This window comes from Homo sapiens, chromosome 14 (assembly GCF_000001405.40).
Source record: "Homo sapiens chromosome 14, GRCh38.p14 Primary Assembly".
Taxonomy (NCBI): domain Eukaryota; kingdom Metazoa; phylum Chordata; class Mammalia; order Primates; family Hominidae; genus Homo; species Homo sapiens.
The window spans coordinates 67,447,116-67,474,540 of record NC_000014.9 but is presented as its reverse complement, the minus strand read 5'-3'; the positions used below and the strand labels follow the sequence as shown (position 1 = coordinate 67,474,540).

General features: G+C 49.2%; 2 protein-coding genes and 1 long non-coding RNA gene across 16 annotated transcripts in view, besides 2 other annotated features; 2 read left to right on the top strand and 1 right to left on the bottom strand.

Annotated features, from left to right (window-relative positions):
* TMEM229B (transmembrane protein 229B) overlaps positions 1-4,272 on the top strand; it is a 63,582-nt gene extending 59,310 nt beyond the window's left edge. For 11 of the 12 annotated variants that reach the window (NM_001348546.2, NM_001348547.2, NM_001348548.2 and 8 more), the window contains one exon: positions 600-4,272. In NM_001348546.2, the coding sequence (NP_001335475.1) occupies positions 618-1,121 (504 nt within the window). In that variant the 5' untranslated portion in view covers positions 600-617 and the 3' untranslated portion in view covers positions 1,122-4,272. The remainder of the gene's footprint in view (positions 1-599) is intronic. The other variant, NM_001348541.2, reaches the window with a different exon arrangement.
* Positions 1-27,425, bottom strand: part of GPHN (gephyrin) — a 1,227,209-nt gene that overhangs the window by 260,815 nt on the left and 938,969 nt on the right. The window lies entirely within an intron of this gene.
* LOC105370542 (uncharacterized) lies at positions 5,825-22,216 on the top strand. 3 transcript variants are annotated; one of them, XR_007064213.1, is made up of 3 exons: positions 5,825-6,100; positions 6,676-13,702; positions 19,860-22,216. It is a non-coding gene; the product is annotated as an uncharacterized LOC105370542 (long non-coding RNA). The 3 variants fall into 3 exon arrangements; XR_007064214.1 differs by lacking the exon at positions 5,825-6,100 and having other exon boundaries at positions 6,504-6,810; positions 7,301-13,702; XR_943964.3 differs by lacking the exon at positions 5,825-6,100 and having other exon boundaries at positions 7,178-7,437; positions 12,483-13,702.
* Positions 16,034-16,533: an enhancer, noted in NCBI's record as "H3K4me1 hESC enhancer chr14:67924725-67925224 (GRCh37/hg19 assembly coordinates)". NCBI's record gives its function as "activates a minimal SCP1, AML or CMV promoter by ChIP-STARR-seq in primed H9 embryonic stem cells {active_cell/tissue: H9 hESC(primed)}" and the evidence as "EXISTENCE:reporter gene assay evidence [ECO:0000049][PMID:30033119]".
* Positions 16,534-17,035: an enhancer, noted in NCBI's record as "H3K4me1 hESC enhancer chr14:67924223-67924724 (GRCh37/hg19 assembly coordinates)". NCBI's record gives its function as "activates a minimal SCP1, AML or CMV promoter by ChIP-STARR-seq in primed H9 embryonic stem cells {active_cell/tissue: H9 hESC(primed)}" and the evidence as "EXISTENCE:reporter gene assay evidence [ECO:0000049][PMID:30033119]".

The following is a 27,425-nucleotide window of genomic DNA, read 5'->3' as shown; positions in this document are numbered from 1 at the left end:
CTTACATCTCAGAAATATGAGTGACATGGAACTGTTTGAGAAGAAGTGGAGGAAGAAATGGGGTCCCCAGTGGATAGGCCTGCTGAGAAATCAGCAAGTAGTCTAGAAATGGGGCTGATTGGTGCAGCAGGCCAGCCGACTCTTCAACTGACCACAGATAATCCAAAAAAGCTCTAGGGAGTACAGACACCTCCCTCTAAGTAGCATTTGGGTAGAGTTGCAGAGAAGTCAGTGGGGTGGGTGGGTTATTCTGTTCTTTGCTCTGTTTTTTTTTTGTTTTGTTTTTTTGGAGACAGAGTCTCACTCTGTCTCCCAGGCTGGAGTGCAGTGGCGCAATCTTGGCTCACTCCAACCTCTGCCTTGCGGGTTCAAGCGATTCTTCTGCCTCAGCTTCCCAAGTAGCTGGGATTACAGGAGCGGGCCACCACGCCAGGCTAATTTTTGTATTTTTAGTAGAGACGGGGTTTCACCATGATGGCCAGGCTGGTTTGGAACTCCTGACCTCAAGTGATCCGCCGCCTCGGCCTCCCAAAGCGCAGGGATTATAGGCGTGAGCCACCGCGCCCGGCCCTCACCTGTCTCTCTTGCGCCCCCCGCAGCCAGCCCCAGTCGGCGCCATGGCGTCTGCCGAGCCCCTGACGGCGCTGTCCCGCTGGTACCTGTATGCCATCCACGGCTACTTCTGCGAGGTGATGTTCACAGCGGCCTGGGAGTTCGTGGTGAACTTGAACTGGAAGTTCCCTGGGGTCACGAGCGTGTGGGCCCTCTTCATCTACGGCACCTCCATCCTCATCGTGGAGCGCATGTACCTGCGGCTGCGCGGCCGCTGCCCGCTGCTCCTGCGCTGCCTCATCTACACGCTCTGGACCTACCTGTGGGAGTTCACCACCGGCTTCATCCTGCGCCAGTTCAACGCCTGCCCCTGGGACTACTCCCAGTTCGACTTTGACTTCATGGGCCTCATCACCCTGGAGTACGCCGTGCCCTGGTTCTGCGGGGCCCTCATCATGGAGCAGTTCATCATCCGCAACACCCTCCGCCTCCGCTTCGACAAGGACGCTGAGCCCGGGGAGCCCAGCGGCGCCCTAGCCCTGGCCAACGGCCATGTCAAGACTGACTGAGCAGGAAGCGGGTGGGGGGCCTGGGGATCTCTCATGGAACTCATGGACAAAGAGACCAAGCTGGTGAGGTTGCCCCATCCATGCAGCAAAAGCCCTGCTCCGGCCAAGCCTCAGCCCTATAGGGCACACAGAGCCCCCTAACGTCCGCGGGGGCCGGTGTTGGGGGGCCGTGGTCAGGTGTTGGGGGATGGGGTGTGGAGGCAGCAGAGGGACATTGGGAAGGGTCCATGGATCGCGGCCCAGTTCAGGGGTTGGTACCAGGAGGCCTGTGGCTGAGCAGCGATGGACTATGTAGTTGACTTTGGAAGCAGCAGGCCCTGTCCTGGCCAAGGGACAATGAGAATGGGGCCGCAGGTGGGAGGCAAGGCCTGACCTCCCTCCCTCCGATCTGGATTTAGTTGAGCTTTGGCTGGTTCCATTAGGCAATATTCAGGTGCTTGCTTGCAACCAATACCTCCCCAGGGGCCTGCTGAGCTGCAGCCGAGGAGAGACTGGGCAGCCAGGAGGCTGCGTGGCAGCAACGCTGGTCTGCAAGGGCTGGGAGACCCTCCCTTGGCTCCTCTCCCCTCCCCCAGGGCCCTGCGCTGCTCCCTTGGCCTTCTGGGGCCCCCGTGGTGCTGGATTCCCACCAACCTTGGGCTTTTGGAGGTTTCAATCCCCGTGTGTTCGGTGGCGTTTCCCCCTTTTCTGTCTTGTTTTCAAAGCCTTTACCACTAGCGGCTCTTTATCCACGTCGGTCGCCACACCTGCCCCACCCCAGCTCCCTAGCCAGCACAGGAGCTGCCGGAGATGAAGCCCTGAGACACCCCCAACCCTCACCCCCTTGCAGCCCTTCCCTCCACTGTTCCGGCTGGCCTGATGCCTGGGGAGTTCCTGAGTTACACCTCCCTACCCCCGGTCTAGTGGGCTGTGGCAGTGCTCCCTTCTCAGTGGCTCAGCTGAGAACAAATGATGCCCTCCAATGCACAGGCAGGCTGGGTTAGGCCCTGTGGATCCACAGTGGGGACCTAGAGGCAAGTCAGTTTGGTGGGGAAAAGCCAGAGTTCTAGGTCATCTATTCCCTGCCTGGTTTATTTTCAAGCCAAAACTGAGCAGTCTAGCTTTCTATGGGATGGAGAAGCCAGGTATCCAGCATTGGAGACTGATGGAGAATGAGAGGAAGAAAGAGAGGAGGACCTTGCAGCTGTGGAAGGCTCCTTGGAGCCTCCTTTGTGGGAGGGTATCAGTTCTGGTTCTGCCAGAGCCTCAGCCCTGGTAGCAGAACCTCAGGGCTGCCCCTCTCCCCAAACTCCTCCCAGCAAGGCTGACCCTTTGAGCTCACTCCTTAAACAGTATTAACCCTGCCACACTCATGGGCATTGGCACCTTGGTTCCCCTGCCCCACTTTGTCCTGTGACAGGTCCATTGCTGGCAGTGGACAGGTGAAATACTCACTCCAGCCTACTTCCGGCTCTGACTCTCACTCCTCAAGGGGAAGGGTCCGTTAGAAAGTGGCCCACCCCATGGTACATGGTCTCTTCTTGACCACACTAGGACTCTTAGGTAGAAATTAGCCTTCCCCTTTTTATGGATCATTACAAAGTGACGGTATCACCTGTGGAGAGAATGTCCTCTTCCCTGCTGGCTGCCCTGCCCATACTGTGCAGGGTGTGGTGGGGTGCAGGGTGTGGTGGGGTGGGCCACAGTTGTGTCCTAGGTCTGGAGAAAAGCTTGCAGACTCTGCCTTTGGCAGGATTTTCTGCAGTTAGCCCCGTCCAGAGCAGAACGAAGGGTATTTCCTAGCCTATTTCCTGGGCAGGCTCCTCAAATCCAGGGATGAACTACTTTCTGCAGTGGCCAGCCCTCCTTTTGATTTTATTGTGGCCCCAATTCCAGGGCTTTGGGGGTTACAGAGAATCAGGCTTCCGGTGGGAGTAGATTGTTTTCCATCTATAGGTGGAGAAAATTCCAGGAGGAGAATATTGTCTGGCTTCCCCGTTCTCTCTGGGCAATTGTTTCCTTGGTTCTCTCTCCAACTCCATGTTGTCTTAGTCTCCCAGCACCCCTTCAGGCCTTCCATGTGGGCCCCTAGACCACACTACCCACCTTCACACTTGCATTCCACAACTCAGTCCAGTGGCCAGCTTGTTGATGCCTCCATAATTCTCAGCCAGAGCAAATCCTTGATTGGCCCACCAGGTCTTGCTGCTCCAGAAGTTGCCTTGTGGGCATTCCCTGGCACCATTTCCTCTCTGGGTCCTATACTTTCCCAAGTGCAGGAGGTCCTGGGGGTATGCCTGTGTGCCTGGCAACATCCAGCATTGTGTTTCTGCTCCATCTAGGTGTCCCATTTCTCCAGTTGCCCCTCATAAGGCATCAAACCTCCAGCAAAGGAAGGCAACAACCCATGGCCTGACCACGGGATCTACAGGTTCAGATCTCACCAGGGATAGCCCAGACTTCAATTCTTGCTTTTTTGGGTATCAGGGCCCCAATCCCTTAGTGGCCAGGGACTCAAAGTTTGGAATAATCCCAGCCCTGCCAAGCATTAAGGGTGCTGGTGGGGAGTGTTTGCTGGCTGTTCATGAACCTCTGGTGTCCTGGGCCTCTCTCCACTAGACATGGCAGCATCTCTGAGTTACAGATTGCAATGTGTTGCCCTGCATGGTTGAACTGCTTCGGACATCTGCTAGGCATCCCATGTGCCCTGTCCCCTCTTCAATGCCAGTGAGTCACAATGGCCTATGCTTATTCACAGCAATAATACCTAGGGAGTCCCCATGAAGCCCTTTTGTCCTGGTCCCTCACTCTGCGTGGGTCTCCTGGGGAGGCAGCTGCTGAGTGGGTCAGTTCATGAGAACCTGCATTTATGAAGCCCTGGGCTGTGTAGGCATCACCCTGGGATGCAGACAGGTTAGAGGCCCAGCCCTTAGGGGAGCCATGGCAGGGAGAGTGCCTTCCACCCTGAGGCCACCCAGACCTGGAGGAGATGCAGGCCCCAGCTCTGCTAAAGGGCCTTTGAGGTGGGTGGGACTGTCTCCCAGTTGGGCAGCTCTTGAGAAGGACACACGACCGGTTTGTGCGCCCATTGCCTGCTCTGTGTCTCCGTTGGTCCCTCTGTCTCTTCCTTTTCACATTTGTGCACATAAAATATACTGGTGTTTGTGTTCCAGGACTGGCTCTGGCCCATCTGTTTTTCCTCTTTTGGAGCCACTTTCTCAGGGGCTCCTGGAGGCCAGGCCCTTTGCACCCTGGCATCATGCCCTCCTGAACTAAGAGGGCTGCTGGGCGGGGCTGCCCTGTGGAGGGGGCAAGTGACACTCCCTGCCAATCCTTCTTGCTGTCTCTACTCTGACACTCTCTGGTAACCTGAATTCACACCCTGACCCCAATTCTCAGGTGGCATAATGTGATCCAGGCCTTACTTTGGTGCCACGCTCCCAGGCAGAGGGGGATCTCAGGCAGTATCCAGGTTGACTGCAGGTTGGCTGCAGTTGCCCATGAGACGAGCTCCTCCTGGAAACACCAGCCATGACCTGAGACATCTCATGAGGCAGGAGGGACCAAGCAGGGTGGCTGAGGGTACCCCCAAAGACATGGAAGGCCAGAGCCCTTTACTTTGAAAGTGATGTTACACTGAAAGTCATGCTTCGAAAAAACAGCTCTGCACTCCTCCCTGGCAGCCCTGTTTTGTTGGAGAAGTGCATTTGGAGGGAGTAATCTCTCCCCCTTTATGTACCTCTGCTCCATTGAGCTTCCCTGTCCTCCCACCACCACCACCACCACCACCACCAGGCCGCTGCCCACTTTCCTCCTTCCAGGAAGAGGATGGAGGGTTCAGAAGTTGCTCAGTCAGGCTGGGCATGGTGGCTCACACCTGTAAACCCAGCACTTTGAGAGGCTGAAGCAGGAGGATTACTTGAGCCCAGGAGTTTGAGACCAGCCTGGGCAACATACAGAGACCACCATCTCTACAAAAAAAAAAAAAAAAAAAAAAAAAGCCAGGCATGGTGGCACACACTTATAATTCCAGATACTCAGGAGCCTGAATCAGGAGGATCACGTGAGCCCAGGATTTGGAGGTTGCAGTGAGCTATGATTGCACCACTGTATTCTGGGTGACAGTGAGACCCTGTCTTGAAGTTGCTCAGTAATTTCAGCTAAACGCAAATGGCATGGGCCCCCTGTCACAGCTGGGTTATAGAACACCCACTGCTTTTCTGGATGGAGTAGACAGTGTGCTTTCTAAATCATCGGGAGGGCCCTCTGCCTCCCTCACTTGAAGGTTTTCATTTCTTTGGCTGAAAGCTTTTTCCCTTATGAAAATGAGATAGCATAAATCCCCAGCAGTCATTTACATGTTAGCATAAACAAATATACAAGGTAGTTCTCTCAGAACAAGATTTTATAGAAAGAGGCAAGCAAAATGAAACAGGGTCTCCTTTATGGAGCTTCAGAGAAGAGGCAAGAGGCAGGTCCCCGAGCGAGAAGACTGAGGGGGCCCAAGACCCTTTTTTTTTTAAAAAAAATTATTATTATTATTTTTGAGACAGAATCTCACTCTATTACCCAGACTGGAGTGCAGTGGTGCAATCCCAGCTCACTGCAACCTCCGCCTCCCAGGTTTAAGTGATTTTCCTGCCTCAGCCTCCCAAGTAGCTGGGATTACAGGTGCATGCCACCAGGCCCGGCTAATTTTTGTATTTTTTAGTAGAGACGGGGTTTTGCCATGTTGGCCAGGCTGGTCTTGAACCCCTGACCTCAGGTGATCCACCCGCCTCGGCCTCCCAAAGTGCCAGCTACTTCCCTACTCTAGTCAGTGGGCGCCTGCCTTTCTCGACACTTTCCTTCCTCACCTCCTCCACCCCTCCCTCACCCAATCCAAAGGGCACTAACAACACTAGGTGGAGAGAAATGCCCCAGGAGAGCTAACACTAAGGACTTCATCCACGTCTTCTGAAGTCTGCCTGGACTTTGTGAAAGCCTAATGTTTACTGACAGTGAGTACATGACTGTAGTCTTGCCTGGTCTTCCTGGGTGCCTGTCTCAGAAGGCTGCAATGTTTAGACTGCCCCGGTACAACCAAGGGAGGGAAACAGAGGAAAAAGGAGTGACTGATTCCTCATACAGCAGGTTAGAGGAGCCAGGTCTTACAAATTGAAACACTGGCCAGGTGCGGTGGCTCAAGCCTATGATCCCAGCACTCTGGGAGCCCGAGGCGGGTGGATCACCTGAGGTCAGGAGTTAGAGACCAGCGTGGCCAACATGGTGAAACCCCATCTCTACTAAAAATCCAAAAATTAGCTGGGTGTGGTAGCGTATGCCTGTAATCCCAGCTACTCGGGAGGCTGAGGCAGGACAATCGCTTGAACCCAGGAGGCAGAGGTTGCAGTGAGCCGAGATCGCACCATTGCACTCTAGCCTGGGTGACAGAGCAAGACTCCACCTTAAAAAAAAAAAAATTGAAATAGCAGTTGTGGTTCCCAGGCTAGCCTCAAGACTGCCAGTACCGTGACTGCGGCCAGGCACTGAACTTTGGGCCCTGCATGCATGCTCTCATTTCTTCCCATTTCAGATGGCCACCATTATTTCTGTTTTATGGGAGAGGTCTGTTGGCAAAGAGTCGGCCACCCAGATTTACCACATTTCTCTGCAGAACACTCTTTTGTTCAATATAAGCAGAGACCTTCCACCGGGGGCAGGATTTGTGGTGAGTCCAATACCCCTTTGTACTTGATGAGTTTCTGGATGCCTTTTGAGTCCAGCTCATGTGGGTGCTATTTGCAGTTAAATTAAAATGTTTGGGAATGGGATGGAAGGGAGAGAGAGGGAGTTATAAGAAAGGAGGTGTAGAATGCTGTCTTAGCCAAGACTTAAGACAATTGGCACAAAGATCCCGCCTAGTGGAGGAGAGCTGTGAAATTGTGGCCTCTACCAATGCTGAGTTTAGCCTTGATACCCTCTCCCCTCCCTCCCTCCTTCCCACCCACAGCCTTCTTTTTGCCCTGGGCCTTTTCTCTTTCATCCTATTTCCTTGTCTTGGCATGAAACCTGGGCCCCTGGCTGTCAGTACCTTCAGAGTGTTTGAAACTACCAGCTGAAACCTTTCTCCTAACAAGATAAGAACCTTCTGCTGGTGCCTTCTGAAAACCCAGATAGGACTGAGAACTGACCTGTTTAACTCATCAACTCCTTATTAGATACCTGCAGTGAGCCAAGGACCAGGCTAGTTCCTGTGATGCTGAAGATGTTGAAGGGAAGCCCATAACATTACAACGTTGACCAATCCTCCAGAAAAGAAGCTCTAACAGAGGACCCTGGCTGTCTACGGGGTTGGGTAAGGATTCTTCCAGGAAGAGACACTTTTCACACACTCAAAGGTTGATAGGTTGATTACTGATACTTTCAGAGATAGGCTGGAGTCTTTTTTTTTTTTTTTTTTTTTTGAGATTGGGTCCCCCTCTGTCGCCCAGGCTGGAGTGCAGTGGCGCGATCTCGGCTCACTGCAACCTCCACCTCCCGGGTTCAGGTGATTCTCCTGCCTCAGCCTCCTGAGTAGCTGGGATTACAGGCCCGTGCCACCATGCTCGGCTAATTATTTTGTATTTTTAATAGAGATGGGGTTTTGCCATGTTGGCCAGGCTAGTCTTGAGCTCCTGACCTCAGGTGATCCACCTGCCTTGGCCTCCCAACATGTTGAGATTACAGGGGTGAGCCACTGTGCCTGGCCCAGGCTGGAATCTTATTGTCCAGAAGTGCAGACATTTACTGTGCCCTGCAAGGTGCCTAGCTGGGTACAGTGCCGAACAAAGGAAGCACGTAGTGAGTGCTTTAAGAAACTCTTGACAAGTGGAGTCTTAGTGAACCCACCCTAAAGGCCAGGCTGAGTGTTCCAGAACACCAGTTCCCAGGCTCTTTTGGGAACTTGAAGCTAGGAATCTATTTAGACAACAACCATCCATGCCATTTCTGTGCCCACCACCATAGAGCAGCTCACTGTCCTCCTCCCTCTTTCCAAACCATTAATCCCTGCAGAGCCCTGCCAGCATTTCCCTCTTAGAGTCTTCCGGCCTTGGCCAAAGACCCAGCTCCACTGATCCACCCATTGTTTCATTCTGGTAATACACTTTCTTGGTTTGGGCAAAGGTAGCCTTTTAGTGCCAAACATTACAGAGAAGGAGATCCGCAGATGATATGGTCTGGCTCTTTGCCTCTGTCACAATTACAGCTTCCAAACAGAAAGGAAGTTTTCTGGTTTAGAAGGGTCCACCAGATGGCGAAGGGTCCTGGGGCTGAAGCTTCTTAGTTAAAGTATGGGGTTGTATCAGTGTCCTAGGACTGCTGTAACAAATTACCACAAAATGAGTAGCTCTAAACAATGGAACTGTGTTCTGTCACACTTCTGGAAGGCAGAAGTCAAATCAAGGCATCAGCAGGCTGCATCTCCTCTGAGGCTTTAGGGGAGGATCTGGCCTTGCCTCTTCCAGTCTCTGGTGGCTGCCGGCAATCCTTGGCTTCCTAGGCTTGTGGCAGCATCACTCCCATTTCTGCCACTGTGGTCACATGGCCTCCTCCTCTTCTGTCTCTTAAAAAGACACTTACCATTGCATGTAGGGCCCACCCGGGTAATCCAGGATGATCTCATCTTAAGATCCTTAATTACAACTGCAAAGACCCCTTTTCAAAATAAGGTAACATTCACAGCTTCAGGGGGCTTGGACGTGGCTACATCTTTTTGGTGGGCCACCATTCAACCCAGTATAGGGGTCGAGAAGCAGATTTCTGCTGAAGCCCTTGCATTTTGTACCCACTTAGGAATTCCATGAGGAGTGAAAGCTGGAAGCACAGTGTGTGGTCATCTGGGAGGGAACGCAAGGATTTAGGCATCCCAAGATATACCTGTACCTGTTGTGAAGTTTCTGTTTAGATGCAGATCTGACCATTTCACTCCCTACTTCAGACTCTTTAATGATTTCCCATTACCCTAAGGATCAAGCTCGACACCTTAGCGAGGCTTACAAACCTTTTGTGGTTTGGCCTCATTTCTCGCCTCTGCCCCAGCCCTGTGCCATCCAGGGAGACTGACTTGTAGTTCTCCCTGCAGCTCCCGTTCACTGCCTCTGGGCCTTCGGCCCCTATGTTACCTCTCCCTGGAACACTCTTTCTCCTCTTAGCCCAACTGGAGACTGATGAGCTCACTTAAAGCTGGCAACATTGGTTTCTATCTCCGTGGAGCTTCCCCTCGCTCTGCCTTCAGTTTACAAACCCAGTCCTGGCGCCTGGAAGCCCTCTGTGTGCCGGTCACCAGCAGAGTGGCTACATTCTTCCAGTGTTGTCAACGCAGCTGACTTTGGTCATCCATTCACCTGCTGTGCACCAGGACCTCCCTGCGCTAGGCCTGTGGCACAGCAGGGAGCAAGACAGATTCCTGTGTCCTTGCTGTAGGATGACTTCAGTGGAATTACAGGGTGCCGACAACTCCGATGGCTCACTGTTAGGGAAAGAGGGATTAACCCAGATCTAGAAGGGGAGATCAGGAAATATTTCTGTGTCTGATTTAGCCAGGACAGGGGGTGAAGCTTGAGGTGAGGTGAAGAGCAGGCACTCCAGGTTGAAAGCACAGCATGTGTGAAGGCTGAGAACACACAGAGAACAGAACTTGCGAAAATAACAGATCGTGATACAATTAAAACAGGGTGGTGTGCAAATGAATAGGGAGCTTCTCTAGACTGGGTAGCCCCAAAAGGTCTGCCAGAAGAGATGCTATTTAGTCTGAAGCCTGGATCGTGATGACAGTCCCCCTGTGAAGGTGCAGGGAGAGTGTTTTGTGCAGAGGAAACAGCTGGTACAAGAGGCAAAGATGCGAATGAGCTCGAAGAGTTTGAGGTACAGATAAAAGGCTGGTGTGGCTGCTGCGTGGTGGGGGCGAGGGTGAGGAGGAGTACAGGATGCAGGTGAGAGAAGCAGGCAGGGGTCAGAGCCTGTAGGGCTCTGGAGGGTGGGGGCAGGGGGACAGAGGGTGATGGATGTGATGGACAGAGGGTGATGGAGTGCTTTTAAGGAAGACCTGTGGGGCCTCACCCAGCCCCTTCCAGGAAACCCCATTCTGAGGATGGGGGCACAGGCCAGGGGAGGCTGCAGGGAGAGCCTGGGGTCCCAGGTACCCTTAGCCTCCATCCTGTTCTCTCAGAGGTCATGGATTGCGGTCAGCGGGACTGGAAATATGGATCTGTTTTGTTTTGGCAAAACTTTCTCTGTACCTACTACATAAGCACTCCTACCCTGGGGTAGATTGCACCAGGCCAGGTGGTGCAGGTGCAGGGCTGCTCTCTTTCTCTCTGTCTCACATACACACACACACACACTCTCACACATACACACACCCTGCGCCACCTCATGCACACTAACCTCTGTGAGCTGGGCCTGTTGAGGCCCTCCTGAAGCTACCTGGGAGCTCAAGTCCCACAGATCCTTGGAGTCTCAAGGTTGTTGGCAGTATTGGACCTTCCCAGAGTAGGGCAAAGGTAGGGAAGATGTAGCAGAGGTATTGACTCAGACAGACTTTTGTTCTAACCCTGTCTCTACCGCTTACTGTCTATATGACTTTGGACAAGAGACTGAGCCTCTCTGAGACTTAGTTTGGTGTATTTAGCTCAGATGTAGTTAGTTGAGTTCACTGGGAGCACATTCTAGCCTCCCCCTAGGCTGAGTGCAAAAGTTAACTCTGCTGATGGTCTAGAGCAGCCAGCATTAGATGCTAGCTCGGCACAGCAATCTTTTTTTTTTTTTTTTTTTTTTTTTTGAGACGGAGTCTCACTCTGTCTCCCAGGCTAGAGTGCAGTGGCGCAATCTTGGCTCACTGCAACCTCCGCCTCCCAGGTTCAAGCGATTCTCCTGCCTCAGCCTCCCTAGTAGCTGGGACTACAGGCGCGTGCCGCCACGCCCAGTTAATTTTTTGTATTTTTAGTAGAGACAAGGTTTCATCGTGTTAGTCAGGATGGTCTCGATCTCCTGACCTTGTGATCCACCCGCCTCAGCCTCCCAAAGTGCTGGGATTACAGGCGTGAGCCACCGCGCCCAGCTCCAGCAAACATCTTAAAATGGAATATTAGACATCCACATTATTAAGTCTTGTGGGCATTGCCTTTGGTTTTTAATATATTTGAAAAAAATTTTTAATTAAAAATAGAGATGAGGTCTCACTATATTGCCCAGGCTGGTCTTGAACTCCTGAGCTCAAGTGATCCTCCCACCTCGGCCTCCCAAAGTGCTGGGATTACAGGTGTGAGCCACCATGTCCAGTTGGGCATTGCCTCTGGGCATTGCCACAGGGATTTTTCACAGCCAACTCAGGATCACCACCCTGTTGGTTGTAGGATGACCAGCTGACTTGGTTTGCTTGGGACTGAGGGGTTTCCTAGGACATGAAGCTTTCACTGGCAAAACCAGGCAAATCAGGATGAATTAGTAATGCCAGCTAGTGGAAGCTTACAGCATCCTTACTAATTGCAATACAGTTATTTCCTGCTTTGCAGAATGACCCCTTTCCCATTGGCTATGGTATTGGTGGGTCCTCTTCTCCCCAGGCCAAGGATGGACTTCTAACCCAAACCAGAATACTCAACCTCTTTCCCTTGATTTGAATCTCAACACAAAACCTAAACAGACTGTCCAATAACTCCTGCTACCTGGATCCTTGGAGGTGTTTGGCTTTTTGTTGTCCTCTTAGTTTGCTCTTCAGCCTTTCCTTTGACTCCACGAGGTGCCCCTCACAGCTTTCCAGTAAATTTCTTTGTTGGCCGGGCGTGGTGGCTCACGCCTGCAATCCCAGAGCTTTGGGAGGCTGAGGTGGGAGGATTGCCTGAGCTCAGGAGTTTGAGACTAGCTTGGGCAACATAGCAAGACCCTATCTCTGTTTTTTAAAGAAATTAGCCAGGTGTGGTGGCTCATGGCTGTAGGCCTAGCTACTTGGGAGGCTGAGGCAGGAGGATTGCTTGAGCCCAGTAGTACAAGGCTGCAGTGAGCTATGATCACTGAGCTCCAGCCTGGGTGATAGAGTAAGAACCTGGCTCTCTAAAAATTTAAAAGCAAAAAGAAAATTACTTCAGTTAGTTGCAACCAGTCCCTTTCCCCATTCTCTATACAGCAGTGAGAACTTTCTGCATGGGGACAATCCAGATCCCTGCCACACATCTGACTTCTTTGTAAACATGTGACCATCACCTGTGATCATATCTTTAACCCTCACACTCCCCCATCCTAACCTTCATGAAATGCTGCTCATGCTCTGAGCTAGTATCTCTCATCTAACCCCTACCCCACCTCCAGGAGACCTCGCCTGTTACAGTCTATGCCTGATTTAGCTGTTGTCCTTTTCTGCAGTAGAGTCCCCAGGAGTTCTTCAGGGACAGGCAGTCAAGGACAGCTGGTGCCCAGAGCCTCCCTGGCTTGCCCACTGGGCAGCTCCAGGGACAACTTGACCTGCCCAATCAAAGCCAAAGGTCAGAACAGGAGGCAGAACCTCGCCCGGCCCTCTTCAAACTCCAAGGGAAAGCCTGTTCCTTGGATCCTTTCAGAAATAAAAACAAAATGACATCAGGTGTTATTTAGTGTTATTTTGCTGACTTTCACTCAATCTGTTCTCCCAGGATCTCAGATTTGCTGACCAGCAGGACCAGATGGCACCTTTTGCAGGACTATCTCATTGTTTCTGCCTTTGCATGTGCCCTGAGCAGCCTAAGAAACAACTTTTCTTCTTCTGACTGTGCATTGTTTCTAGTTTTTTTTTTTTCTTCCTATGACTCTGCTGAGGGCATGTGACACCCAATCCTGGCTTACGTTTCATATCCTTGAGATGACAGCTGACTTTGTTGTCCAGAAGGAGGGAGAGTGAGGGTAAGGGCTGGGGAGGGAAGGGAAAGTACCAGAAAATGGAAGGGGCTAGATTGCTCCAGGTTCATAACTCTGATTGCAACCACCCTCTTTCTCAGCCTTTCTGGAATGTGGCTGTTTATGCTCCATGTACCCCTGGGAACTTCCTGATTGCCCAACAAAGATTCAATACCCCAGGCTTTGGAGTCATTAGACTGGAGTTTGAATCCCAGGTTCCTGACTCAAGTGGGCATGTTATGTAACCTGTCTGAGACTCAGTTTCCTCATCTGAAAATGTGGCCAATAATAGTCTAGACCTCCCAGAGTGGTGGAGATTAAAAGAGGCAATGACTGTAGAGTGCTTAGCACCCAATCAATGTCAACTATTAGGAGAGACATTCTCCTTCATTTGTTTCACAAGGAAAATGCAAGGAGATGCCACTCCAGCAAGCATTTCTGGAATCCTGCTGGCGAGGTCATAATGACCAAAATTATGGGCTTTAGAATGGTCCTCATTTAGCCTGTACTATTTATAATGAATAGGAAGGCAAATTACTTAACCTCTCTACACACAAGTTTTCTCATCTGTAAAATGGAGATGGTAAAACCTACTCTATAGGATTATTGTGAAGGTTGAGTTAAATAAAAAATGTCTAAAATGCTTTATACAGGACCGTGATCCCTTACCCCGAACCCATGGGATTTTGCAAGACTTTTTGGATTCCAGAAAGGTAAAACATTTATATGCTGTATAAGCTAGGTGTCAGTCAGCACCCCATAGTCAAACACATCATTATTTCTACACAGAAATCTATGAATATCCTACTACATGGGGTAAAGAGCCTTTTTGTTTGTTTGTTTGTTTTTTGAGACGGAGTCTCACTGTTGCCCAGGCTGGAAAGCAGTGGTGCAATCTTGGCTCACCACAACCTCTGCCTCCCGTGTTCAAGCAATTCTCCTGTGTCAGCCTCCCGAGTACCTGGGACTACAGGTGTGCGCCATCATGCCCGGCTAATTTTTGTACTTTTAGTAGAGACGGGGGTTTCACTGTGTTGGCCAGGCTGGTCTCGAACTCCTGACCTCATGATTCACCTGCCTCGGTCTCCCAAAGTGCTGGGATTACAGGTGTGAGCCACTGCGCCTGGCAGATAAAGACTCTTAATTTCCTTACAGCCTTACCTGGCAAGATAGGCAAGACAAGTGTTATAATTCACACCTCACAGATAACAAACTGAGGATAGGGAGAGTAGGTTGTTCAAGGCCACATGGTCCATAATTAGCCGCACCAGGATCCCTGGGTCATCTGGTGATCTGGCCCAGGGACTCCTCCCATGACACCACACAGTATGAGAGACATGACCCTGTTATAACCATCCCTTTTGCTGAATGAACTTTACAAAAAAAGGGAGGCGGGGTATGGGGAACTACTACATGGTCACCTTTTCTTCTTGTCTTTCTAAGTGTATGTTTATTTCTACATTCTTTTCAAATTCTGCTTCTCCCATTTTGGTACCTGATACACATTTCTCTGTATTAAAATAGACAACATACTTGCTTTTTAAAATAACTGTAGAGTCTTCCAGAATCTTAATATAACCCAGTTAGCTTAGCTATCCCCCTACTGCTGGCTATTTGCATGTTTGCAGTTTTGCACTGTTCTAAAAGAATGCTTCAGTCATCCGTTTTAAACTTTGCCTTGGGGATGAGCAAGCACATTGATTTGAAATCACCTGTCCCTTGAGCCCCCAGCTGGCTGGCAGCCCTGGGAGATTGTCTTTCCAGGCACTTCAACGATATAATTGTTGTTCCCAATCAACGAATCAATTAGGGTTTATTGAGCGCCTATGTGAGGAACAGCGTGTGTGCTCTTTAGTACTGGGAGGCACAGAAGCCCAAGTGATGTCTCTGACCCTCAAGAAGCTTACGTGTAACCAGGGAGGCCTTTCAGCTTCAAATCAAGCTGTGTTTGCGTCCAGCCAGTAAGACCTTCTAAGCAGGGCTTTTCAAGATGGGTATCAGGGTGTGACCTGCATGGTGAAAGCAAGAACTTTAAATAGGTCTCTAATCTATCCTCTTGCCTGTGAAGGGCATCGGTTTCATTCAACAAGAAGGTGCCAGAAATGAAATAGTGAATAGAGAAAACAAGCTCAGAAGTTCCATGAAGCCTTCCCTGATTCATCAGGTTTTGCTATCAGACTCTAATGGTTAGGGTGAATCATTAAAAACCAATAATATAGGCCAGGTGCAGTGGCTCATACCTGTAATCCCAGCACTTTGGGAGGCCAAGGTGGGAGGGTTGCTTGAAGCCAGGGGTTCAAGACCAGCCTGGGCAACATAATGAGACCTCATTTCTACAAAAAAAATTTAAAAAATTAGCCAAGTGGCTGGCTGTGGTGGCTCATGCCTATAATCCCAGCACTTTGGGAGGCTGAGGTGGGCGAATCATGGGGTCAGGAGTTCCAGACCAGCCTGGCCAACATGGCAAAACCCCATCTCTACCAAAAATACAAAAAAATTAGCCTGGCATGGTGGCGGGTGCCTGTAATCCCAGCTACTCAGGAGACTGAGGCAGGTGAATCACTTGAACCCAGCAGGCGGAGGTTGCAGTGGGCCAAGATCGTGCCATTGCACTCCACCCTGGGCGACAAGAGCAAGACTCCATCTCAAAAAACAAAACAAAAAACATTAGCCAGGCATAGTGGTGCACTTTGGTAGTCCCAGCTACATAGGAGGCTGAGGTGGGAGGCTTGAGCCCAGGAGATCGAGGCTGCAGTGAGCCAAGATCAGGCCACTGCACTCTAGCCTGGGTGACAGAGTGAGACCCTGCCTCAAACCAAACCAAAAAATAAGTAAGGAAAAAAATAGCATATAAAGTATCAGTTCCCTGACTCCCCTTGGCAGGGGGTCAGTGAAAAGACTAAACAGGACCTGGTTCTACCTAGCTTCCCTTAAGCAAGGCCTCTCTCTGTCTCCCCTCTCCCGCCCTTCAAATGGGAACAACAGTAATACTTTATGGGATTCACAGGCTTTTGACTAGTATCAGTCGAGATCCTGACAAATGCTTAGAAAGAACAATATGTTACCCAAATGGGGATAACTGTTACCCACTAGGGATGCTGGGGACCACATCTCCTTCACTGTGGTATCCCGAGCACCCGGCACGCTGCGGGTCTGGCAGGTAGTAGGAGCTCAATAAACATTTGTTGAACGAACCAGAGAGTTGGCAGGGGTTATTATGAGTCCATAAAGGACACTGTACCGCACATCAATTCATCAAATCTGAGGAGGAGGCTCCTCACCCCACACTCCAGCTCCACCCCACAAATCCATCTTCCATAGGGCAGTCTCAGCCTTTCCCTGTCACCCTGTACGCACTCTAATGGGTCCCCCATTCAGTACAGCAAAGATCCGAAGCTGAAAGTTCAGCCTGGGACGGGTGAGCGAGGAAAAGGCTCAGCTCTCCTCAGGTTTCAAGGGCTGCAGCACTCCCTGTCACAACGGATTGGCCAGCTCCACCTTCAATTCCCGCTCCTGGCTGCTGAAGCAGGGGAGTGTCAGGCCACAGGGATCCTTAGCCAACAGCAGCACTCTGACCAGCTAAGAAGGACACTTGGCACCAGAGAGCAGCCCTGTCCTCATCCCCCGCCAGCTGGGGCCTCAGGTGTTCTGTCACCTCAGAGGCCAGCCAGCCTGCTGCTCCTGGAGCATCTGGTTACTAATAAGAGACAACAGCCTATAGCAGGGGAGTCATTTCACAGTGGCTAGAGCCCAGTCCACTGGCTGGACTTTTCCAAAGAGATTTCCTGTTTTTCTAGAACCAATGTCATCCTCACTGAGAGCTCCTAGTGAGCCCCTAGTGGGACTTTTGTAATAAAGTCCTATAGCTGGGGGGCCGTGACAACCGGCTGCTTTCCAAAGTCTGTGGCTTCCTTCTTTAGGCATTTGTTTGTTTGGTTTGGTTTTACAGACAAAGTCTCTCTCTGTTGCTCAGCCAGGAGTGCAGTGGTGCCATCCTAGCTCACTGCAGCCTCCAAACTCCTGGGCTCAAATGATCCTTCTGCCTCAGCCTCCTAAGTAGCTGGGACCACAGGCACATGCCACCACACATGGCTAAATTTTAAAAACATTTTTTGCAGAGACAGGGTCTCTCTTTGTTGCCCAAGGTGGTCTCTAACTCCCAACTCCTGGCCTCAAGCCATCCTCCCACTTCAGCCTCCCAAGCTGCTGGGATTACAGGCGTGAGCCAGCATGCCCTGCTGTTTGTTTCTTTTTTCTTTTCTTTCTAACTTTTCAAATTGTTGAAGGGTATATGTGCAGGTTTCTTATATAGGTAAATTGAGTGTCTGAGGGTTTGGCGTATAGATTATTTTGTCACCCAGCTAATAAGCATAGTACCCTATAGGTAGTTTTTCAATCCTGACCCTCCTCCTACCCTCCACCCTCAAGTAGGCCCTGGTGTCTATTGTTCCCTTCTTTATGTCCATGTGTACTCAGTGTTTAGCTCCCACTTATACACGAGAAGATGCTGTATTTGCTTTTCTGTTTCGGCATTAATTCACTCAGGATAATGGCTTCCAGCTTCATCCATGTTGCTCAAAGGACGTGATCTCGTTCTTTTTCATGGCTGTATAGTATTCTATGGTATATATGTACCACATTTTCTTTATCCACTCCACCATAAATGAGCATTTAGGTTGATTCCATGTCTTTTCTATTGTGAATAGTGCTGTAATGAACATACATATGTGTGCCTCTTTAGGGTAGAACAATTTATATGCCTTTGGGTATATAACCCAGTAATGGGATTGGTAAGTCAAACGGTAGTTCTGTTTTAAGTTCTTTGAGAAATCGTCAGACTACTTTCCACAATGACTGAACTAATTTGCATTTCCATCAGCAATGTGTAAGCATTCCTCTTCCCGCAGCCTTGCAGCATGTGTTATTTTTTGACTTTTTTTTTTTTTTTTGAGATGGAGTTTTGCTCTTCTTGCCCAGGCTGGAGTGCAATGGCGTGATCTCAGCTTACTGCAAACTCCTCCTCCCAGGTTCAAGTGATTCTCCTGCCTCAGCCTCCCAGGTGTCTGGGATTGCAGGTGCCTACCACCATGCCCAGCTGATTTTTTGTATTTTTAGTAGAGACGGGGTTTCACCATGTTGGCCAGGCTGGCCTCAAACTCCTGACCTCAGGTGACCCACCCACCTCAGCCTCCCAAAGCACTGGGGATTTCAGGCGTGAGCCACCGTGCCTGGCCTTATTTTTTGACTTTTTAATGATAGTCATTCTGACTCGTATGAGATGGTATCTCATTGCGGTTTTGATTTGTATTTCTCTTATGATTAGTGATGTTGAGCATTTTCTCATATACTTGTTGGCCAGATGGATGTCGTCTTTTGAGAAGTGTCTCTTCATGTCTTTTGCCCACTTTTCATGGGGCTGTTTGGTTTTTTGTTTGTTAATTTGTTTAAGTTCCTTATAGATTCTGGATATTAGACCTTTGTCAGATGCATAGTTTGCAAATATTTTCTCCCATTCTGTAGATTGTCTGTTTACTCTGTTGATAGCTTCTTTTGCTGTGTAGAAGCTCTTTAGTTTAATTAGGTCCCATTTGTCAATTTGTGATTGTTGCAATTGCTTTGCATGAAATCTTTGCCAGGGCCTATGTCCAAAATGGTGTTTGTTTCTTTATTCTGTCTTCTCTACCCAAATGTAAGCTCCAGAGGGTAGGGATCATATCTTTCACTGCTTTCTCCTCCTAGTGCTGGAAATTGCACCTGACCCAAAGCAGGTGCTTAATTAATATGTGTGGAATGATTGAAAAAAGAAACAAATGAACCCTTTAGCAATTTATTATATATGGTAAATGATAGTTATAAATAATTATAAATAAATGATTATTTTAAATGACTTTAAAGGGAAGCAGAAATTTCCATAGTGTCTCAGGATTAACATGCACATGTTCCTAGCTTTTCATTTATTATTTATTAATTCTGTTATTTTTTAAATCCTGTTTTTGATCCATAGGAGAGATGAGAATTAGATATCACATGATGTGTATGTCAGAACTACAAGATAGGAGCACATAGTTCTAGGAGCATCTGCAGTGGGGGATTTGATCTAGTCAGGGTGGTCAGGGAAGGCTCCCTGGAGGAAGTCACAATTGCATCAAGATCTAAAAGGAGAGGTCATTAACTGCGAGCCACAGTGGGGAAGGAAGAATACTGCAGACAGAGGGGATGGCACAGGAAAGGCCTTGGGGTGGGAGGGAACAGGTGGGGATGAGAAACTGAGGGGCAGCCAAATGTGAGGAGGGTGAGAACGAGGGTGGGCCGCAGGGCTACAGCCAGACCTGGCCAGCACCTTGGCGAGGCTGGGCAGCAGCAGACAGGCTGGCAGCATCTGACCGTGCTCAATAAGAAAGCTGCCCTGCACATTGGCTCATGCCTATAATCCCAGCACTTTGGTAGGCCAAGGCGGGTGGATCAGTTGAGGTCAGGAGTTCAAGACCTGCCTGGTCAACATGGTGAAACCCCGTCTCTACTAAAAATCCAAAAATTAGCCAGCCATAGTGGTGCATGCCTGTAATCCCAGTTACGTGGGAGGCTGAGGCACAAGAATCACTCAAACCCAGGAGGCAGAGGTTGCACTCTAGCCTGGGTGACAGAGTGAGACTCCGTCTCAAAAAAGAAAAAAAAAAAAAGGAGAAAGAATGCTGCCCTGGCTGGGACAGGGCGCCCCTCAGGGGATGTCACCTCTTCCAGAGGACTCTTCCCAACTCCCTAGCCTAGGTTAGGGCCCTGCCTTTGTGTTCCCATGGGACCCAGGGTATTTCCCCCTTATTATATAACTTATTAAAGTCCACTTTAATGATATATTTTCTTACTTTTTAGTTTCCATCTCTCCATTCGTGAGCTCCTTGAAGGCAGAGAACACTTGGCTTTTCTTCCTATACCTCCAGTCCCTAATGCAGGGACATGAGAGATGCCCATTTGTGTTTGATGAATGAATGAGTGAATAAATGAATGAATGAGTGCCTGGAGATCAGAGTACATGGGATGAGTGTTCGGAGTTCTACAGACTCAGGAAGCCCCAGCTGACATTCCAAGAAGAAGGAGACACGAAGGTGAGGGGATGCCATGCAGTTAGCGTCACATGAAGAAAAACAAAATTTAAGGTATCATCCTTAGAAGACGGAGGGATGACAGTTTCAAGGAGGATTTGTTCATCAGATGCTGGGAAGGAATTTCAACAGGTAAAACTGCATAGTGCATAGGTTTATAAGCATGAACAAGCATGTCAGCTATGTATTTAGTAGGTGCTCATGATTTGTGTCAAGCATTGTTCTAAGTGCCTTGTAAGCATTAAGCCATTTAAATTCTTATAACAATTGCATGAAACATTTAACCATTACTATGTCTATTTTACAGATGAGGAAACTGAAGAGCAGAGAGGTTAAGTACCCCCCTACCCTGCCCCCCAGGGGACACAACCTGTAAGTGACACCGTGAGGCTTTTAACCCAAAGAGTTTGGTTCCAGAAGTCTGTCTTGCTGCCTTCAAGCCAGCCCTCGCTCTGCTGCTGGTGCTAACCTAAGGACTTGATACCTTTTTTAAGGCCCTCCTGAGAGGGAGGTATGATTCTCCTCCATTTTCAGATGAGAAAGCTGAGGCTCCAAGAGGTTGCCAAAGTTCAGCTAGCTGACAAGTGGCAGAGCCAGGATCTACAGTCACAGCCATGCTCACTGTGTCCTGTGTCTTCTGACACTCACGGCTGAGCTCTAAGCCTGGGTCACCTCCTCTGCCCCTCTCTCCACAGCTCTGGAACCTCAGCCAAGGCCCAGCAGATGGTGGCCCTACATGCACATTTCTGACTCAGCCGCCCCCTCTCCACCCGCTGCTTCTCATCCCAGCTCTGAACCTCTAACCCACCATAGTTTCTGAGACAGGGACACCATCCTGACCTGGCATGAGATTAGGAACAGCTCAGGCCATCAGCATCTTTTGGGGGCAAAAATAGGTGCAGCTAAAATCTATTTATACATCCCTGATGGGCAGGAAGGCGACAGCCAGACCTAAGGAAAGGTTGTTCAAGGATTCAGCATGTCAGCATCCCGGGTACCTGAGCAGGCTGATGGGAGGTGTGTGCAGGACAGGGAGCCCCAGGCAGGCCCTCTGTCTCAGCTGGGAGGGCAGGATACTTTTCCTGGCTCTCCTTCACCCAGGCTCTCCTGCTCCTTCCCTCAGGGCCTTCCTTTGCACAATGGCTGGCAGGCTCAGGATGCCTCTGAAGCCAGGAAGAGGGGCACTTTGACTAGTCAACCCAGCCTCCTTGACAGAGCCCTAGGCCCAAGCTGACCCCCCGGGGGATAATTGGAGCAGCATTTGAGCATACTATTTGGTTACTTTCATCTCAAGTGCTTGACCCAAAAGACATCTGGCACAGGCTCAGCTACTCAGTACCCCTTCCTGGGGCGACATGTCACTGTGACAGTACTGTGCCTCCATTTCCCCATGTGTGAAGACAGAAAATTCTCAAGTGTCTAGCACACACAGGCTTGACCAAGGGAGACCCCCATGCCCTAGACAGTAGCAGAAAAAATTTCCTTGTGTGGGCTGAGGAAGGTAGCATGGCTAGGGTTGGAGGGAGAAAAAGCTCAGGTTTCAGGATCCAGCAGATTTGGGTTCCATTTCTGGATCTGCCTCTTCCTGTCTATGTGATCTTGGGCAAATACTTACCATATCTGAGCCCTGGAAATAGTAACCATTCCAATACTTAAAACAGGTCTCTGAGGTAGATGCTGTCTCTAGACATGTCTTATAATCGAGAAACTGGGCACAGAGAGAGAAATTAACTTGCTCCAGGTCACACAGATGATAAGTAACAAGAGTCAAGATTCAAACCTAGATGGCCTGGCTCTCCTCTTTGCTCCTAACCACTACCCCACACTGCCCTGCTTCCTATAAAACCTGGAAGAGGAGAGTTCTGATCCTAGTCCTGCCAGTAAGTTAAGGCACAGGGCCACTTGGACCTTGTATTGGTGCATTTTCATGCTGCTGATAAAGACATAGCGGAGACTGGGCAATTTACAAAAGAAAGAGGTTTAATGACTTACAGTTCCATATGGCTGGGAATGCCTCACAATCATGACAGAAGGCAAGGAGAAGCAAGTCACAACTTACATGGATGGTGACAAGCAAAAAAAAACCTTGTACAGAGAAACTCTCATTTCTTTTTTTTTTTTTTTTTGAGACAGAGTCTCACTCTGTCACCCAGCAGGCTGGAGTGCAGTGGTGTGATCTCAGCTCACTACAACCTCTGCCTTCCGGGTTCAAATGATTCTCTTGCCTCAGCTTCCCAAGTAGCTGGTGTGCACCATCACACCCGGCTAATTTTTATATTTTTAGTAGAAACAGGGTTTCACCATGTTGGCCAGGCTGGTCTCAAACTCCTGACCTCAGGTGATCCACCCACCTCAGCCTCCCAAAGTGCTGGGATTACAGGCAGGAGCCACCATGCCCAGCCGAAACTCCCGTTTCTTAAAACCATCAGATCTCATGAGACCCATTCTCTATCATGAGAACAGCATGGGAAAGACCCACCCTGATGATTCAATCATCTCTCACCAGGTTCCTCCCACAACACACGGGAATTATGGGAGCTACAAGATGAGAATTGGGTGGAGACACAGAGCCAAACCATATCATTCCACCCCTGGCCCCTCCCGAATCTCCTATCTTCGCATTTCAAAATCAATCATGCCGTCCCAACAGTCCCTCAAAGTCCTAACTCATTTCAGCATTAGCTCAAAAGTCCACAGTCCAAAGTCTCATCCAAGACAAGGCAAGCCCCTTCTATCTATGAGCCTGTAAAATCAAAAGCAAGTAAGTTACTTCCTAGATACAATGGGGGTACAGGCATTGGGTAAATACAGCCATTCCAAATGGGAGAAATTGGCCAAAACAAAAGGGCTACAGGCCCCATGCAAGTCTGAAATCCAGTGGGGCAGTCAAAGCTTAAAGCTCCAAAATGATCTCTTTTGATTCCATGTCTCACATCCAGATCACACTGATGCAAGAGGAAGGTTCCCATGGTCTTGAGCAGCTCTGCCCTTGTGGCTTTGCATGTATAGCCCTTCTCCTGGCTGCTTTCACAGACTGGCATTGAGTGTCTGTGGCTTTTCCAGGTGACGGGTGCAAGCTGCTGTTGGATCTACCATTCTGGGGCCTGGAGGATGGTGGCCCTCTTCTCACAGCTCCACTAGGAGATACCCCAGTAGGGACTCTCTGTGGAGGCTCTGACTCCACATTTCCCTTCCACAATGCCCTAGCAGAGGTTCTCCATGAGGGCCCCGCCCCTGCAGAAAACTTCTTTCTGTGCATCCAGGCATTTCCCTACATTTTCTGAAATCTAGGAGGAGGGTCCCAAACCCCAGTTCTTGACTTCTGTGCACTCACAGGCTCAACACCATGTGGAAGCTGCCAAGGCTTGAGACTTGCACCCTCTGAAGCCACAGCCTGAGCTCTATGTTGGCCCCTTTCAGCCATGGCTAGAACAGCTGGGACATAAGGCACCAAGTCCCTAGGCTGCACACAGCACGGGGGACCCTAGGCCTGGCTCACAAAACCACTTTTTCCTCCTAGGCCTCTGGGCCTGTGATGGGAGGGGCTGCCATGAAGACCTCTGACATGCCCTGGAGACATTTTCCCCATTGTCTTGGGGATTAACATTCAACTCCTCGTTACTTATGCAAATTTCTGCAGCCAGCTTGAATTTCTCCTCAGAGAATGGGATTTTCTTTTCTATCGCATTGTCAGTCTGCAAATTTTCTGAACTTTTATGCTCTGCTTCCCTTATAAAACTGAATGCCTTTAACAGCACTCAAGTCACCTCTTAAATGCTTTGCTACTTAGAAGTTTCTTCCACCAGATGTCCTAAATCAACTCTCTCAAGTTCAAAGTTCCACAAATCTCTAGGGCAGGGGCAAAATGCCACCATTCTCTTTACTAAGACGTAAGAAGAGTCACATTTGTTCCAATTCCCAACAAGTTCCTCATTTCCATCTGAGACCACCTCAGCCTGACTTTATTGTCCATATCACTATCATCATTTTAGGCAAAGCCATTCAACAAGTCTCTAGGAAGTTCCAAACTTTCCCTCATTTTTCTGTCTTCTTCTGAGCCCTCCAGACTGTTCCAACCTCTGCCTGTTACCCAGTTCCAAAGTCACTTCCACATTTTTGGGTATCTTTTCAGCAGTGCCCCACTCTACTGGTACCAATTTACTGTATTTAGTCCATTTTCATGCTGCTGATAAAGACATACCTGAGACTGGGCAATTTACAAAAGAAAGAGGTTTAATGACTTACAGTTCCATATGGCTGGGAACGCCTCACAATCATGGCGGAAGGCAAGGAGAAGCAAGTCACATCTTACATGGACGGCAGCAGGCAAAAAAAAAAAAAGAGATTGTGCAGAACATCTCCCGTTTTGTTTGTTTGTTTGTTTGTTTGAGACAGAGTTTTTGCTCTTGTTGCCCAGGCTGGAGTGCAATGGCACGATCTCAGCTCACTGCAACCTCTGCCTCCCGGGTTCAAGCAATTCTCCTGCCTCAGCCTCCCAAGTAGCTGAGATTACAGGTATGTGCCTCCACAAGGGGTTTCTCCATATTGGTCAGGCTGGTCTCAAACCCCTGAAATCAGGTGATCTGCCTGCCTCCCAAAGTGCTGGGATTACAGGCATGAGCCACCGCACTGGGCCAAAACTCCTATTTTTTAAAACCATCAGATCTCGTGAGACCCATTCACTATCACAAGAACAGCACGAGAAATACCCACCCCCATGATTCAGTCATCTCCCACTGGGTTCCTCCCACAATACATGGGAATTATGGGAGCTACAAGATGAGATTTGGGTGGGAACACAGAGCCAAACCATATTAGGCCTCAACTGGCAAATGATGGGAGAAGGCCTTGATGCTATACCACATAGCACTATCTGAGCCTCTGCATTGTTTCTGAGTGTGTGTTGTCCCTGCCTGTCAGCCTACAAGATACAGGGGACCATTGTCAGGAGACTCCCTCCTCCTTGCCACCCCACTTCCCCACACCCTGCCTTCTAGCCTTGGGTTCAAGGATCAGTGACAAGAGTGCCATGAAAGAGCATCTTTCCCAGGCCCTCCCGAGTGCCTACCACAACCCTCTTCTAAAGCTTCTGGGCTCTGAGAGGGCAGAGGCTGGCTTCTGGACAAGTGGATCATATCCAATGCAGCCTCTATCCTCCTTCACAGTAGAGCTCATTTGGCCTCGGCTGCAGTTAGCACCTCCTGGATCCTCTTGGCCAGACTGAATGACCAATTTAAGTTAATTTTCAGACTCTTAGTATTGGAGAGGAATGTGCAGATAGAACAAGCAGTCCAAAAATGCAGGAATCCCATCTTCAGCAGTCTGAGCAGAATTGGCTGGTGTGTCCTCATGATGCCAGCTTCTCCCTTCCTAAAAGGGTCTGGGCCCTTCCTGGTTGGCTATCATGGACAGAAGCTCCTCCTGAAGTTGGGCTACAATCTGACTTTTCTGTCGTGACACCTTCCACGCCTAGTTTGGCCCTTTGGAGTGTCACAGTATTCCCCTCATGGGATGGTCTTTCACAGCCATGAAGAGAATCACTGTGTTCCTGCCAAGTCTTCTATTTTCAAGATTAAATAGCCCCACTTCCTCCAATTCTACCTCTTAGGTCAAGGTTCTTTAAGGCTTCTTAAGGCCTTTTCCTCATTGCCCTACTCCCTCTGTTTCCAGTCTGTTCTAATGGATTTGTCAGGAATCCTGACTCAGGATTCCATTTAAAATACTATGCTGAGAGCGTGACACTGAAGTGTTTGTGATCAGTAGGGCAGCATTATTGTCTGTAGTCTCCCTTTGCTCTCTCTCCCCTCCACAGCCCCCCACCATCCCTCCAGGCTTCCTTCTGGAAACTGCAAACCATCCCCCTTCCCCAAACTTCACCCATGCAGTCCTTGTAGGGGCTGCCACACTCACCTATGATTCTGTTCCCAAGGCCAGCTGGTTGGCTAAGAGGTTGGCACCAAATTTAAGCTGCTCCAATCAATTCATTTATAGGGATGTTTGTTTTTGAATACCTCTCTGGTGACTGAAATGGTAAAATATACAATTCAACAGCAATTGGTAGCTACATTGATCAATATAGAATGGGCTATGATATCCATCCTGATTAACATGGTGAAACCCTGTCTCTACTAAAAATACAAAAAAAATTAGCCAGGCATGGTGGCACACACCTGTAATCCCAGCTACTCAGGAGGCTGAGGCAGGAGAATCGCTTGAACCTGGGAGGTGGAGGTTGCAGTGAGCCGAGATTGCAGTATTGCACTCCAGCCTGGGTGACAGAGCAAGACTCCGTCTCAAAAAAAAAAAAAAAAAAAAAAAAAAAAAAAAAAAAGAATGGGCTATGGTAAGAAATGAATCAAACCTGAAATGTTAGTGGCTTAATCCAATAAAAACGTATTTCTTTCTCATGCAAAATTTGATGGGGTTCGGCAGGTTTCCTGGGAAGCTCTCCCCCAAGTGGTGATTCAGGGATCTAAGATCCTGCTATTCTGAAGCTTTGTCATCTTACTCTTTCACTTCCAGATGCAAGGTAGAGAGTGGAAGGAATGAAGGGGTGGGCGAGGGCATGAAGAAGCCTCCCCAGCTCTAATGGCCACTGTCTGAAAGTGATGCAGCTCACTTCCACCCACATTCGCCAGATTTCAATCCATAGCCTCACTTAACTGTAGGGCAGGCTAGGACATATCATCTTTCCATGTGCTGAGAAAAAATAGAAAAGACCAAGATTGGTGAAAAGGAGCAAACTAGTGACGAGAACCTTGCCATAGCCATTTTTTTGCCACTCACAGAAGCCGGTCTGTACCAAGCGAGAAGTGGCTATAGGAGAAGTGGTCCTGAGGCTCATCTGCCTTCTCCTGGTCACCCTCCCAATATATCCCTCCTGTGCTGAGCTAGTTTTCTATTACTTTTCATCACCTACATCTAAAAGAGACCTACCTATCTAACACAGTCTTTGTCTTACTATCATAATGCTATTAATGCAAGCTAAATAATAATCTTTCATCTTCTTTTTTTCTTTATCTTTTTCACTTGAATTGCTTTAAATTCAAATCTTCCTGCTATAGTGTGAATGTTTGTGTTCCCCCCAAATTTATGTTTAAACTTTAACCTCCAAGCTGATGGTATTAGGAAGTGGGGCTTGGGGAGGTGATTAGGTCATGAGGGTGGAATATTTGAGAATGAGATTAGTGCCCTTGTGAATTAGGCCTGAGAGAGATCCCCTCATCTCACCATGTAAGGACACAGCAGAAGGTGCTATCTTTGAACCAGGAAGTGAGCCCTTGCCAGACACTGAACCTGCCGATACCTCAATCTTGTCCTTCTCAGTCTCCAGAAC